This window comes from Homo sapiens, chromosome 3 (assembly GCF_000001405.40).
Source record: "Homo sapiens chromosome 3, GRCh38.p14 Primary Assembly".
Classification (NCBI taxonomy): domain Eukaryota; kingdom Metazoa; phylum Chordata; class Mammalia; order Primates; family Hominidae; genus Homo; species Homo sapiens.
The window spans coordinates 87,361,529-87,376,629 of NC_000003.12; the positions used below are offsets into that span (position 1 = coordinate 87,361,529).

General features: G+C 38.5%; 1 annotated feature.

Annotated features, from left to right (window-relative positions):
• Positions 12,238-12,438: a silencer, noted in NCBI's record as "peak4742 fragment used in MPRA reporter construct". NCBI's record gives its function as "represses an SCP1 promoter by STARR-seq MPRAs in K562 erythroleukemia cells {active_cell/tissue: K562}" and the evidence as "EXISTENCE:reporter gene assay evidence [ECO:0000049][PMID:32103011]".

Genomic DNA, 15,101 nt, shown 5'->3' on the forward strand with positions numbered 1-15,101 from the left:
TCAGAGAGTGATGTCAGGGTGAGAAGGATTGGGTATCTCATTGCTGGTTCTGAACTGTAGGGAATAATGTACAAAGACCAGAGACAGGCCTCTAAGATCTGGAACAGGCTAAGAAATCCCCTAGAACAGGCAGATTATCCCCTAGAGCTTTTAAAAAGGAATTTAGCTCAGCTAATACCTTGATTTTAGCCCAGTGAGACCTATGTTAGAATTCTGTCTTAGAGAAATCGAAAATATATTTGTTCCATTTGAAGTCACTAAATCTGTGATAATTTGTTATGGCAGCAATAGAAAACTAGTGTAATAGCAATTCAATTCATTGCTAATTCATTTCTTCATGCTTCTATAGCCACACAATTTTATTAGGAAGGAAATCTCAAAGAGTTAAGACCAAGTTTTATCATTTTAAAGATTTTTTTAAAAGCTGAATGACATTAAAAGAGAAAACTTTTCCTGGAACACAGGTCTCCTGATGTCTAATCCATTAAGCCACACTGATTTCTTTTAGTATTATCTGAAATATGTCCTATTTTTATACATCTTGAAAACATGAGCTATTTTTCTATGAGATTATTATTTTCAAGGGAGACGGAAGTTGTGGTTACAGGTGTGCTCTTCTTGGTGGCACAAAGCTGAAACTTTGTAATCATTATTAGTCATACTTCACCCTAGCATGCTTCCATTCTTCCCAGCTAAACTAAGGTTCATGAAGATGGACAGGGGCTGTCTCATCCATCATTTCCCTGCCCCTCACATCTCTACTACCTCTAACACAGTGCTGGGTACTTGGAAGGCACTCATTACCTATTTGTTGAATGAAAACAAAAAAGTGACACAAATACTTTTCTTTAGGAAAGAAAATAACTCTATCTAATATTCCCAAAATAAACTCTACTAACATTTTGGTGATATAAATCTATCTATAGACAGAGATTAAGTCTGAATATATACATATACACATATATATATGATTATAATCAAATCAGTGTGTGGATATTAATGTATACATGAATTCATCCTCTTAAACCAGGGAAGCTACACTTTGTCCTAGGCTCAAATGAGTAGACAGATGACTGTCCAAAGATCACCCATTATTTCACAGTTCAACCTAGAAGCTATTTGTGATATCCAGAAACTGATACATGACTTAACAGATAATCAGTAATATGATATTAACAATGAAGAAAAAAAATTACCCAGAACCAGGAAATTAGACCTAGGTAATATGGCTCAACAAAAGCCGTGTTTACAACTATACAAGATAATTGAATATGCTGGAATTTATGAATGATGTGGGTGGATGATATGGTTTGAACATTTGTCCCCTTCAAATCTCATGTTGAAATGGGATCCCCAATGTTGGACATGGGATCTAGTGGGAGGTGTCTGGGTCATGAGGGCAGATCCCTCATGAATGGCTTGGTACCATCTCCCTGTTGATGAGTGAGTTTTTGCTGTATTAGTTCACACAAGGTCTGATTGATAAAAAGAGCCTGGCATCTCCCGCCTCTCTCACCATGTGCTCCCCCTTCACCTTCTGCCATGACTGTAGGCTTCCTGAGACCTCACCAGAAGCAGATGCTGGCACTGATACTATACACTGTCTGCAGAATCTTGAGCCAAAATAAACCTCTTTTCTTTATAAATTACGCAGCCTCAGGTATTCCATTATAGCAATGCAAAATAGAATAACACAGTGGGTTAAAAACACTTTCCTTTGAGGAAAATGGGGAGACTCAAAAATTTTATTCACTAAGCTCTGTTAGCCAATCTTGCATCCTTGTTTAAACCTGGTTCCTTTGAACATATTGCAAACATACTAATGTAAGTTCAGTGAGATTTGTATGGTATAGTGTTCATTATGTTCAATATTCACACAGTCATATGTGAATTTCACTCACATAGTGTCAGAAATGAGACATTGACAAAAATTTGTTTTAAAAATTGATACAAGGGGCCTCATACTAAAAAGTATAAGTATGTGGTTCTGAATCCTAGAGTGGCCTAATGTCAGGCATCCACTGATGGCAACAATCCTAAGGCCCTGCTGGGTAGTTCAAGCAGCTGGATTGTCTGAAGACAGAAGGAATTTAAAAAGGCAGAGTAACAACTACCTCCAGAAACAGTGTCAGGCTAAGAGGATTGAACAAGGAAAGACAAGGAAACACAACTAATGGGAAAAATTGAAAACTGTGCTTAGAAACTGTGCTTGCAAATATATAATCAAAAAGGAGGGGCCCACGTGAAGGAATCTTTGATCTGTAGGCAAATTCCCTGAATGTGGAAACAGATAAAACAGGAAATCAACCAAGGCTGCCCTTGCTGATGTCACAAGGAGTACCCAGGAGTAATTGAGTGATTACTACACCCAGGAGTACCACAGAGTAATTAAGTGAGCCAGTGCATCCTTCTCTATCCTGATAAATATGAATGTAATGAGCCAGGAACAAAATGAGTTAACCAAGAAGATACTGAATACACATTCATGTTATTACCTCAAGGGCCTATTAACTCATTCTTTGTAGCTGCCATAACATTATGTGTTAAGTCTTAAAAGAAGACACGGGACTCTGATCAGGCATAGCATAATATCATAATAATATCCTACTTCTAGGGATTAATAAAAATATAGTAGACTCTGGATATAGAAATGACCCATCTCAATAATTCTGGCTGAAAAATTAACCCCAGAAAATGCAAAGCTCAAACAAAACTGAAAAATCCCTATTTAGTCTGTACAGTATACAATAAGTATACTGTGTACATTGAAAGAGAGTGAATAAGGTACATGTAAAATATTCTAGAGCTAGTATACTTATAGCTGATAGAAATCACTCTCTTCCCTCCATAGGACTTAGAAAGCTGTAAGCTTTATTGGGAAATTATCTGTCTTTATCTATCTATCTATCTATCTATCTATCTATCTATCTATCTATCTATCTCTATCTATCTGTCTGTCTATATCATCTACCTAATCTATCTATCTCTCTTATAGTTTCTAGAGAGGAAAACAATTTAAATGAGGACCAAAACAGGTCAGACTTTAGGAAACATCAAGCAAATATTTAAACAAGTACTACATTTCAGATCATGAAATGCTTATTAGATTGGATGTTGTCACTAGCCTCACAAAGGTGGGTGCACTTTATATATAGCAGATTACATCAGATAATCTTAAATCTTCAAGGATGTCTGTACCATATATTCCTTGGAATTATTTAGGAATGCGTTTTCAGCAATGATGACTCTCATGTACTACCGGGTCCTGGTGGAGAGGCACACTATCTCATTCTGAAGCTATGAATACTCTCACATAAGGGTCAGCAGTACCGAGTAAACTACCCAATCCATTTTCCTTCTGCCCTTAGAAGACATTCCAGCTTATCATGGTTTTTTACCTGGTGAGGTGACCTGCATTTTTATTCCTGAGTGGTCTGAGTCATTATCAGTCCTGCCCAAATGGGGGTGTAATTTTCCATTGACTATAAGGCATGGGAAGTACCAAGAAGTACTTCCATTATGTCAAACATACCTCTCCTTTCTCTAAATTTCCCACAAAATTCAGGATTAGTATCCCCAGGAAGTATCTCCTTTACTTCAAACATACCTCTCTTTTCTCTAAATTTTTCATAAAATTCAAGATTAGTATTCTCAGGCAATATAGTGAAACCTCTTTTTATGTCTTTGATTCAGTGGCATAAAGAATCCATATTGAAGAGTTGGTGGTTTCAACTTCTAGTTCAATGAATTCAGGGTTGTGTCCCCTGATGGAAGCATTCCTCCCTTTAGAATGAAGACTTCTAGACCATCGGAGCCTAAAGTAATAGGGAAAGAAACGGTTGCTTGCAAATTTCTAGCAGTAATAGTGAGAGGAGTCACTCTTATTTCTAAACTTTGATTCCAGAACCCATGAATGCTGGCTAGGGGAGAATCATATATTCAACGCTTACTTACAGTATATACAAACCACATCCTAAAATACATTGCTTTAGCTCTGTAAGGTGTTGCCACCCAGTTGGTATTATAACGGAGTCTTCAGAAGGCCATCCACCATTTTATCAATCCAGCTGCTTCAGGATGCTGAGGCATGGTAAGACCAGTGAATTCCATGAGTATGGGCCCAACGCAACACTTCACTTACTGTGAAATTAGTTCTTCTCTTAGAAACTATGTTTGGTGATCATGGTATCTCTCCTGCCAGGTTAAGACATTCTGTAAGCGCATGCCTAGAAGGCATTGTAGTCAGGGAAGGTAATCCAGATCCTGGGTAAGTGTTTGTTCTAGTAAGAAAAAAAGTATTTTCTCCTCCATCATGAAAACGATCCATTTTAATCATCCTGCCATTAGGTAGCTGGCTGATCCATTTGGATAATGGTGCCATATTGGAAATTCAGTGATAGTTTCTGCTGCTAGCACATTGGGTATTCAGTAGTGGCTGTCACTAGACCAGCCTTGTTGAGTGAAAGTCTAGGTTGCTGAGACTATGTGTAACCTCCATCTCTGCCATGCTGGCTGTTTCATTCATCAGCCTGTTGACCAGTGACAGGAGTAGCTGGTGAAATTGGCTAATTGATGTTCATAGAATGAAACATCCTAGCCATTTGATTTAAATCTTTTGTTGCTGAGGTCACCAGGTCACCCTTTAGTGATATTCATAAGGGACACAAAATCTTTACATTCTGTGAACATTCTGAGAAGTTTAACCACATGTCTATTCCCTATGTCTCCTTGTAACTAATTTTACAATCATGTTCCTTCCATATTCTAAACTATTCAGCAATATCATTAACCACAGCCCCTAAGTCAGTGTGGACTCATATCTGGCCAGTGAAATAAGCAACCAGATGCTCTGCTCAAAGTTTTTGCTAGTAAAGGTTTCCCTTCCATTCCATCCTTCAGGACCAACTCAGAGAGGGACTGTAGTTCTGCAGTTATTCACTTTTGGATGTTTTATGATATTGTATAGAATCATCTCTAGGCTGGGTGCGGTGGCTCTTGCCTGTAATCCCAGCCTTTGGGAGGCCAAGGTGGGTGGCTCACAAGGTCAAGAGTTCAAGACCAGCCTGGCCAACATGGTGAAACCCCGTCTCTACTAAAGATACAAAAAGTAAGCCGGGCGTGGTGGCATGTGCCTGTTATCCCAGCTACTCAGGAGGCTGAGGCAGAAGAATTGCTTGAACCCAGGAGCTGGAGGTTGCAGTGAGCCAAGATCACGCCATTGCACTCCAGCCTGGGTGCATCAGGGTGAGACTCCTTCTCAAAAAAAAAAAAAAAAAAAAAGAATCATTTTTAAACCAAGCCAAAGCTGTTCTTTCCTCAGTCATTGGTGCTCATGAGGTAATAGGAGAGGGTTGAGAGAGATAAGGTAATATATCTAGCAGGAGTAGAGGCCAAGGGTATTTGAGTCACCTACTTTCTCACGCAACTTACTTGTACCTTGAAGACCTTCTTGAACAGGTCTTATGGATACCACTTCCATTTGATGAAGGAGTGCTGCCACTCAAAATCAATTTTACAGTTTTGTGAAACAAATAACGTCAAGCCCATAATGTAAACCTTTCATGGCAATTTTCTGGCTTTCAGTCAAACATTCTGTGTCTACCCAACACCATCTTCATAATCAGCTAGCATTCATGGGTGTAAAATCAAACAATGACAATGGGACTGACTTCTTTCATGGTTACCTTTAGTGATTCTCCAGTAACAATTTGGTTTCCTATCCCTACTAATTTAGGTTATTTTAGTCTAGAAATCATGCTTCCACAAGGGAGAATACTTCCACTAGGGGACCCAATTGTAATTTTCTTGAGGTTGAGACTGCTGCTGGCCAATTGGTACTCTTCCCTTTCAGAAATGGAGCTTACTTCCTTTCCCCTTTAATGTGAGCTGGATTTAGTGATTTGCATCTAGTCTATAGAATACAACAGAAGTGATATTATGTCACTTCCAAGATAAAGTTATAAAATGATTGAAGCTTTTGTCTTGGGTTCTCTTGCATGTTCCATCTCTCTTTGATCACTTGCTCTTTGGAAGCCAGATGTCATCTCACAGGGACACTTATGGAAGCCTATGAAATGACCCATGTGGTGAAGAACTGAAGACTTGGATCAAGTCCAGCAAAGAATTAAGGCCTCCCAACCAAGATATGTATGAACTTGGAAGTGGATCCTTCCTTAGTTGGCTCTTCAGATGAGACTGTAGCCATACTTGACAGTTTAACAGCAACCTCAGGAAAGACTTTCAGCCAGAATGTTCCAGCTAATCAGCCTCCAGATCTCTAACCCACAGAAACTGTAAGATAATAAATTGTTGTTTAAATCTGCTAAGTTTTGGCATAATTTATTATGTAGCATCAGATAACTAAAACTAACCAACATTAAAGTTGACCTGACCTACATTCACCAGGGGTTGGAACTTTGTGGCATTTGATCTCAATATGTACACAGCTCAGTGGAAGATCAGATTACACAGGAGGATCTTGCGAACAACTGAAAAAGCTTCTGCTTTGACTTGCATTAAATTAGACAGCTATTAGAAGGCTTTAAGCAGAATAGTGACATGCTATAATATATATTTAAAAGTACCACTCTAGTTGCTAAGTTGAAAATAGGCTATAGAAGGCTACAGCAGAGAGACATGTTAAGAAAGTATTGCAGTAATCTAGGTGAAGATGATTGTGTCTCAGAATAAAGTGTTAACAGTGAGTGTTGTGAAAAATGTTTGTATTTTGGATATATTTTAAAGTAGAACCAACGGTATTTTCTGATAAATTCAATATGGGTTGAGGAAAAAAAGAGAAGAATCAAAATGGTTCCACAGTTTCACCTGAGCAGCTGAACATTTGGAGTTACCATCTATTGAGATGTAAGTTGAAATCATGTGAAAAAGAGTCCAGGAGTTTATTTAAACATTTTGAGTTTGAGGCATTTGTTACATTTCCAGGCAAAAATATCAGGTAGGCATTTGGATATATATGAGCCTGTACTTTGGATGAAAGGTCGAGTTGGAGGTATACCTTTGGGAATTACTAGAAAATATTTTATCGTTAAAGCCTGAGAACTTGACAAGCTCACCAAAACAGTGTGTAGAGATAAAAAAGAGAAGGGTTCTGACCATAAGATCCTCTAAAATTAAGAGGCAAGGCAGAGTAAAGAGGAGGCACTAGGAAAAGAAGATGAGAATGAATACCCAGTGGAATGGAAGGACCATTATCCATTTCATCTGGATTACTGCAACAGCCTCTTTTCTTCCCATTTCTACACGCTCTCCCTTCCATTCCACAGTCCCCAAAGCAGCAAAACAAGTGTGAGTTCCTTTGTAAATCAACCTACAAAGCACTCTTGTTTTAATGCCTTTGGTAGCTTCTTTTTGCACATCCAAGCCTTGGTCTTGTATCGCCAAAACTTTCAATGGTATTCAGAATCAGTGCTTTATCCTGAATGTTTTCCTTTGGCCCTCCTGATTCTGATCTTCCATGCTTCTGACACTGACTATGTTAAATTCAGACTTTCTCCTTTCTGTCCTGCATATTACATGATTTGACAGATTTAGATGTTAGCATTCTGAACAACAGCATTTCAACTGACAGTTTGCTTTTAGCGTAGTTCAACAAAAAAGAACTGGGCATTTCAAGTGACACACTTGGTTCTTTTTGATATACATACTAGGAGCTGGTCCCTCTTCTGTGTGACGATTTGCAGAAAACCCCTTCAAAATAGGCTCAATAGCCCTCTCTATATATTTTAGCACTTAAAATTGATTAAATATTTATTATATAGTTCAGAAAAACATAGGCTACTTTTCCAAACCAAGTTACTTACAGGCTGGTAGATATCATTACCTTGTATTTAAATCACACTTTATAATTTGAATTTTATTCCCATAGCATTATCCATCACCTTAGTTATTATCAGTTAAACAAAGAACTTTGTTTTAGACAATAAACTCAACATAAAAATATATATATATATATGCTTCTTTCTAGGAAATTATGTCTACTGTTTTACTACTCTTACCACTTCTTTTACATTTTGCCATTTGTAATTTTATAAATGTCAGAACAATGTTTTATTGCATTCCTTGTTAGTATTGAAGTCTAGGAAATAATGAGTGCTACAAGTTTAATTCTTTAACATAAGACTTCTTTGTTTGAGCCGTATACACTCACAGATGGTAACAAGACCAGAAATGTCATTTTGAACAGAAGAAAAAAAATACAATCTTAGCAGTAATAGTGCACTTAAAAATGATGTAGGATCTAGCAGACAACAGTCATTTAATGAAAATCGTGGATGCTCTGTGAAATGCTTTAGCTGCCAATGGAAAATCCTTTTTTATATTTTGTTTATTGCCTTTTCCTTTTCTTTCAAAATTCCCTTTTATTTGTTTGTTGGTACATCGACTCCTAACACTACTGAGTTCCCTTACATAGCTGTTGTTTTTGTTTTCCTTTGAGAATTGTATATATTCAAGGAACCTAGGGATGCAGGGCAATTTTATTCTGGCCCTTCAGCAAGTCTGATTTCAATGTTACATGTTACTTCCATCCTCAGCATTCTCTCAGGCAGTTATTTTTTAAAAAATGTGTTTTCCACTTGCTTGATGTGTTTTTTATACTTTCATTTGCTGTCATGGATCATTCACTTTCCAGAAGTGCCTTCACTCTGAGAGGACAAACAGCCAGTGTTGCCTAGCTACATGCTTCACCATTACATTTTAGAGCACCCTCTTGGAATCTAAGTAGATTCATTCGTCTGAATAAAAAAAGGCATATCAGATTTCACTGTGCTCCTGATCTCCTCAGAAACAATTAGATACACTTATCTCACTTTGAAAAAAAATAAAGGAAATAGATCTTTTCTGTGTTCTGATACTTCCAGGTTTATGTACAACTGCAGTGCTTGATGGGCCCATGATAGTTAGGGAGCATTAGATCTTCCATTGAGGAGTATCTTATGTTTACAAATTCACTTCATGACTAAATTTAGATCATTTTTGACAGGTGTAAAAGTAGACTATTTCTTTTTTCGAGAAAATGATGTTTTAGGATGCTCTTTTCTTTCAAGTGGGTACTTTAATATTTGTGTAGAACTTGTCTCCATATTTTTAATGGGAGAATAAAAAAGACTTTATACTAGTAACATAAAGACGGGGAAAGTTAGAGGCAGAGAAAACTGAATTTATTCGCTACATTTTCACTATTTTAAATCTAATTTTCAGTGCAGTTGTTGTATTAAAAGCCACTTCATTGCTTTATGTAAGTACACATGTAGCTGCTCAAACAAATGCTACTTGGAATGGTTCTGTTATCTTATGCCAAACTCTGAAAATGCAAACCTGCTAAACCTAAACCTGCTGTCCCCCAAACCAGCTGCTTTTTTGGTATGAAGTTATGATAGATGCCTATGTGTGTGTATTTTTATTTCAGACTGAAATCTGTGAATCATCCTTGGCTCTCGTGTTCTTTAATCTTCAATAGTAAACAAGTCATGCAAATCCTAAGTCTGATGGTTATACTCTCAGATTTTGAGATTTGTGTCTTCCTTTCCAAACCCAAATCTCATCTTTACATTCATGACCTTCCACCTAATTGCCTACAGTACATTCTTATTTAACAGTGATGTCCCATTAAATTCACCGAACTGTTTCTCTGATTAGAAATGATTAGTAACTTCCCACAAGCTACAATTTATCCTTTATCCCACGATAAAGTTTATCCTGGGAAGGAAAGTACCTATAGCTTATCCAATACTGTTTCACTATTTCATGGTAAAAATCCACATTCCCGACCAGGCTCATCTCTTCTTTGCCTTTCAAAATGTTCTTTCCGTCTTCAATATTTTGGTATTTATTTCTTTTCTCCAACCCTTTAAAAATTTTCTGATATTTATTTTACTTCAATTTATTCATTTAATATATTATTTTGTTTTGTTATTTTATTTTTTAACAAAGTAATACTTTTGAAAAATCAAATATTACTAAAGATTATATAATGTGAAAGTAGCAAATCTCTTTCACTTTTCTCCTTCATCCATAATACTATTTTCTGGCATTCCATCTTTTTATTCAAATGGCTAATTTTACTTTTATTTACAGACATTTTCCTAAATAATCTTTATATTGGTATTTCTTGGCAAAAGTACTTCAGGCAATCTCTTCTTATTTCTAATCTTGGTAACTCAGAACTAAGCTCTCCTCCCTTTTCCTACCTTTAAATGAAGCAATGCATTATGTTTATGCCTCCTTTTTGGGCAACTTTATTATTTTTCCCCTAGAGTTTATCATCTCATTTTTTACTGAACTTTTAAAATGTACCCATTATTAACATGTTTGTTCTCAAAAATTCTGCCACCTGCCTATTTTTCATGTATTCTATCTTTTCAATTTCACTTCTTTTCTTGATGTCATTATTTTCAGGGTCTTTTCTTTGGTTTTAATATGGACTGGTTACTTTTTAGGGTTACTCAACTGCTGTCATACAGTTACTCACTTTGCCTGTGAGATAGATTCCGTCCTTTCTAAATCTCAAATTTTATATCTTCATTTTATGAGTCACACTGTCGAATAGATTTCCAACAAAGGACACATACAAAACAAAAATTTGTATTTGCATATCTGCAGTTTGCTTTACTCTAAGTTGCTACTTGATTGATTTTGGATTATAGAATTCTAGGTTAAATATAACTTCACTCAGAATTTTGAAATAATTTCTCTATTGTTATACCGTAAACTTTAAATTTGCTGATAAGTTATCTATTGCTATTTAGACTATTGATTTTACGTACATGACCTATTTTTATCTCTAGAATATTTTAGAATTTTTCTTTAATGCTTGTATTCTAAATTTTCCCATGATTTGCCTTTACTTATGTCATTTTCCCCCACCATTTATTGTTCTAGGCATCAGATAGCTCACCAAATGTCTTGTGGCATTTAACTTTAGGCAAAATTCTTTTACTTTTATATTTGTTAATTTATTATTTTCTCTGTCCTCTCTATAACTTTCATTGTTCTTCATCATGTTAATTAGTAAGCTGTTAGGCATCCTGAATTTATCATTTAAATTTATTATCTTTGTTTTCTAATTTATAAATCTTTCTTCTATTCCAATTTTAGATTCTCTTTGATTTATTCTCCTATAATAATGATGAAACAATTTTACCTATACTATTTTAAATTTCCAGTTCTTTCTTACTATTTTCTCATTTCATGCTGGCTCCATTTTTATAGATTTTATTTCATAGATATAATTTTTTGCTTCATTTTTAGTAACCTGCACTGTTTCTACTGGCTCTTTTTTGGTTTTGCTTTAATCTCTCTTTCATGTTTGAGATTTTTAAATAGAATTGTTTCATAAGCCTTAAATAACCAGTCATATTGATTAATTTATAAATATTTATTGAGCACCTAGTATGTGCCAAAGAATACTGTTTTATAAGATAGTAATACAATTTTTGAAAAACTTTTTAAAAAGAAGCATTGCCCTAGGATGGAGATGTTTAAAAGCTGATTGTGAGTTCTGGGTTTTATAATAGTATTTGCAGAACTGTTGTTATTGAACTAACTCTACCATAAATAACACACTCAATTCTGGAAATATTAATAACATAAAAAAACAGCTGTTTGAAAACTGGAAAGCAAACAAAACCAGGTTAAGAAAATAAATAAGGAGGATCTATGCTTTGAAAAAAGGGAGACATAATGAGAGAGATTTTCACCCAAGTACTTTCACCAGCACCGGAAGATAAAATTCAAGCAGAAAATTACATATTATTAACCTGAATACACAGAGTATAAAGTTCAGGGCTTTCTAAACGACTAAAAATTGAGGCCAGACGCGGTAACTCACGCTTGTAATCCCAGCACTTTGGGAGGCTGAGTCCTAAGGATCGCTTGAGTCCAGGAGCTAGAGACCAGCCTGGCTAACATGGGCAGAACCCCGTCTTTACAGGAAAAAAAATATATATATATATATTAGCCAGGCGTTGTAGTGCCCACCTGCAGTCCCAGCTACTCAGGAAGCTTAGGTGGGAGAATTGCCTGAGCCCAGGAGGTTGAGGGTGTAGTGAGCCGAGATCTCACCATTGCACTCCAGCCTGGACAACCAGAGTGAGACCCTGTCTCAAAGAAAAAATAAATTTTTTTTTGAAAGGCCCAATCCTGGGAAAGAAAAAAAGAGAACCATGTAAGAGAAGCTCCAAAATCTACACATAAAGTCTACTCAAATCGTTTGCTAACCCTAAACTGTGCTTGTACAGAAAAAACCCCTAACTTGCCCAGTAAAAAGCAACGGTTGTAAGGTTGCCGGAGATAAGCAGAGAATTTAGCTACTTTCCGGTACAGAGGTGACAGTTTTGAGCTCAAGTCTTGCCAAATTTAAAAGACCCAGGAAACACTTCGTTTTCCACTCACACCGAAGAAAGGACATATTTCAACATGGTTTCTCAGTACTAAGGAATTTATCACAAGACAAAGGGCAAATCTAAAAATGACTTGTCCTAACAGAAAATAAAACCATACCTTTAAAAGTTCAAGGCAAACCACCAGTCATTTAACAGCCTGCTTAACAAAATTCAACATTCCCTAGAAGAAAATACCAGAACCCAAAATATTTACAACTTATTAACAATGTCCATCATAATATGAAGCATTTACTAGATACACAAATAAACAGAAATTACGATGTAGCATTAGTGTAAAAATCAATTTAAGAAATTCACAAGTTACCCAGATACGGGAATTAGTATACAAAACTGTAAAATAATATGTTAATCCAGGTCCTGCAAGAGCACTTGCCAAGATACATTAATATGTGCAAGGAATTTATTAAGGTTAATTATTGTAATAAATTAATGGAACAGAGTTGTGAAAAGCTGGGGGTGGGGGGGCAGGTGCCATTGGACTGTGATGCAGGCCTGACCTTGAGTGAAGCAGAGAGAGAAGAAAGCTTAGGTGGTAGCATATTATACTGAACTGTAGTCCTAAAGAAGGCTTATGCAGTGTTCAGGCCAAATTTGCCCATCAAAGGAGTCCCGCATATTCCAAAAGAAGTCTCCCTCAGCATTACTATCGTGCTAATTCCTAGGCTGGGAGCAGCGTGTGGGGGTATATTGTGCTCTCCACACTTGGAGAGCTGGGCAATATGATCTCATGGCTGTCACTGTCCACTCTTTCACGACAGAGAGTTACTCTCTACATGGATTTGGGAAGCAGTTCAGCCATGATTCCAACGTATCACTTTTTTGAAGATAAGTTTAGAAGAGGAAGATTAGCCTGACTTGTAGTTCAATAGGATCATTCCTGTATTTCTTGGCAAGAGTACCCTTACTTTGGAGACCCAGCTAATTTTGCAGAGCCCATAATGGTCAGGATAGGAAGTACGAATTACCCAATGAAACATTGAAAGCGGTGGTCAAAAGAATTACTCTTGCATTCATCTGTTGGTCCTTGAAGTCATGTGTTATTATCTTAGGGACACTGTATCATGCAAAGGTCTCTGATTTAATACATTCCGAAGGGTGACACCCATCCTTTCATATTACTGCCATTGAGCTGGTGCTTCAGCTGTGCCTTTAGAAAGCCATTCCAACATGCTAGATAGATCTAAATGGTGCCGTATTGAGAAGTGACAGCCTGCTGGCAGCCCTCGCTCACTCTCGTGCCTCCTCAGCCTCCGCGCCCGCTCTGGCCACACTTGAGGAGCCCTTCAGCCCGCCTCTGCACTGTGGGAGCCCCTCTCTGGGTGGGCGGAGGCCAAAGCCGGCTCCCTCTGCTTGCCGGGAGGTGTGGAGGGAGAGGCACTTGCGGGACCTGGGGCTGCATGCGGCGCTCGCGGGCCAGCGCAAGCTCCGGGTGGGTGTGGGCTAGGCATGCGGCGCACTGGGAGTGGCCGGCCGGAGCCTCAGGCCCCGGGCAGTGACGGGCTTAGCACCCGGGTCAGCAACTGCAGAGGGTGCGCCAGTTCCCCCAGCAGTGCCCCTGGGCGCCGGGGCCTCAGCTGCCTCCCTGCCTGGCAGGGCTCAGGACCTGCAGCCCGCCATGCCCGAGCCTCCCCACAACCGTGGGCTCCTGCCCGGCGTGAGCCTCCCCGACAGAGTGCAACCCTCTGCTCCGCAGCGCTGGGTCCCATCCACCGCCCAAGGGCTGAAAAGTGCAGGCACTCCGCGTGGAACTGGCGGGCAGCTCCACCCGGTGGCCCTGGCCTGGCATCCACTAGGCTAATCCAGCTGGGTTCCTGAGTCTAGTGGGGACTTGGAGAACGTTTATGTCTAGCTGGAGGATTGTATATGCACCAATCAACACTCTGTGTCTAGCTAATCTAGTGGGGACTTGGAGAATTTTTCTGTCTAGCTAAAGGATTGTAAATGCACCAATCAGCACCCCGTCAAAACCGACCAATCAGGTATCTGTAAAATGGGCCAATCAGCTCTCTGTAAAATGGACCAATCAGCAGGATATGGGTGGGGCCAGATAAGGGAATAAAAGCAGGCTGCCCAAGCTAGCAGTGGCAACCCAGGTCCCCTTCCTGACCGTGGGGGCTTTGTTCTTTTGCTCATTGCAATAAATCTTGCTGGTGCTCACTCTGTAGGTTCACACTGCTTTTATGAGCTGTAACACTCACAGTGAAGGTCTGCAGCTTCACTCTTGAGGCGGGTGAGACCATGAACCCACCGGGAGGAATGAACAACTCCAGAGAGGAGGAACGAACAACTGCAGACGTGCGGCCTTAAGAGCTGTAACACTCACCACGAAGGTCTGCAGCTTCACTCCTGAAACCAGCGAAACTGCGAACCCACCAGAAGAAAGAAACTCCGAACACGTCCAAACATCAGAAGGAACAAATTCTGGACACACCACCTTTAAGAACTGTAACACTCACCGTGAGGGTCCGTGGCTTGATTCTTGAAGTCAGTGAGACCAAGAACCCACCAATTCTGTACATGGTATGTGTTATGATCAGCAAATCCAGTGGTCATATATCCATTCCCATACTTCTTTTACTGTGAAATGAGTCCCCTGGTCATGCTGTGTGAATATCTATAAGTCCCTGCATAGACTGGATAAAGCTTCATGGGCAGGAAAGAACACCTCATACCTGAAAT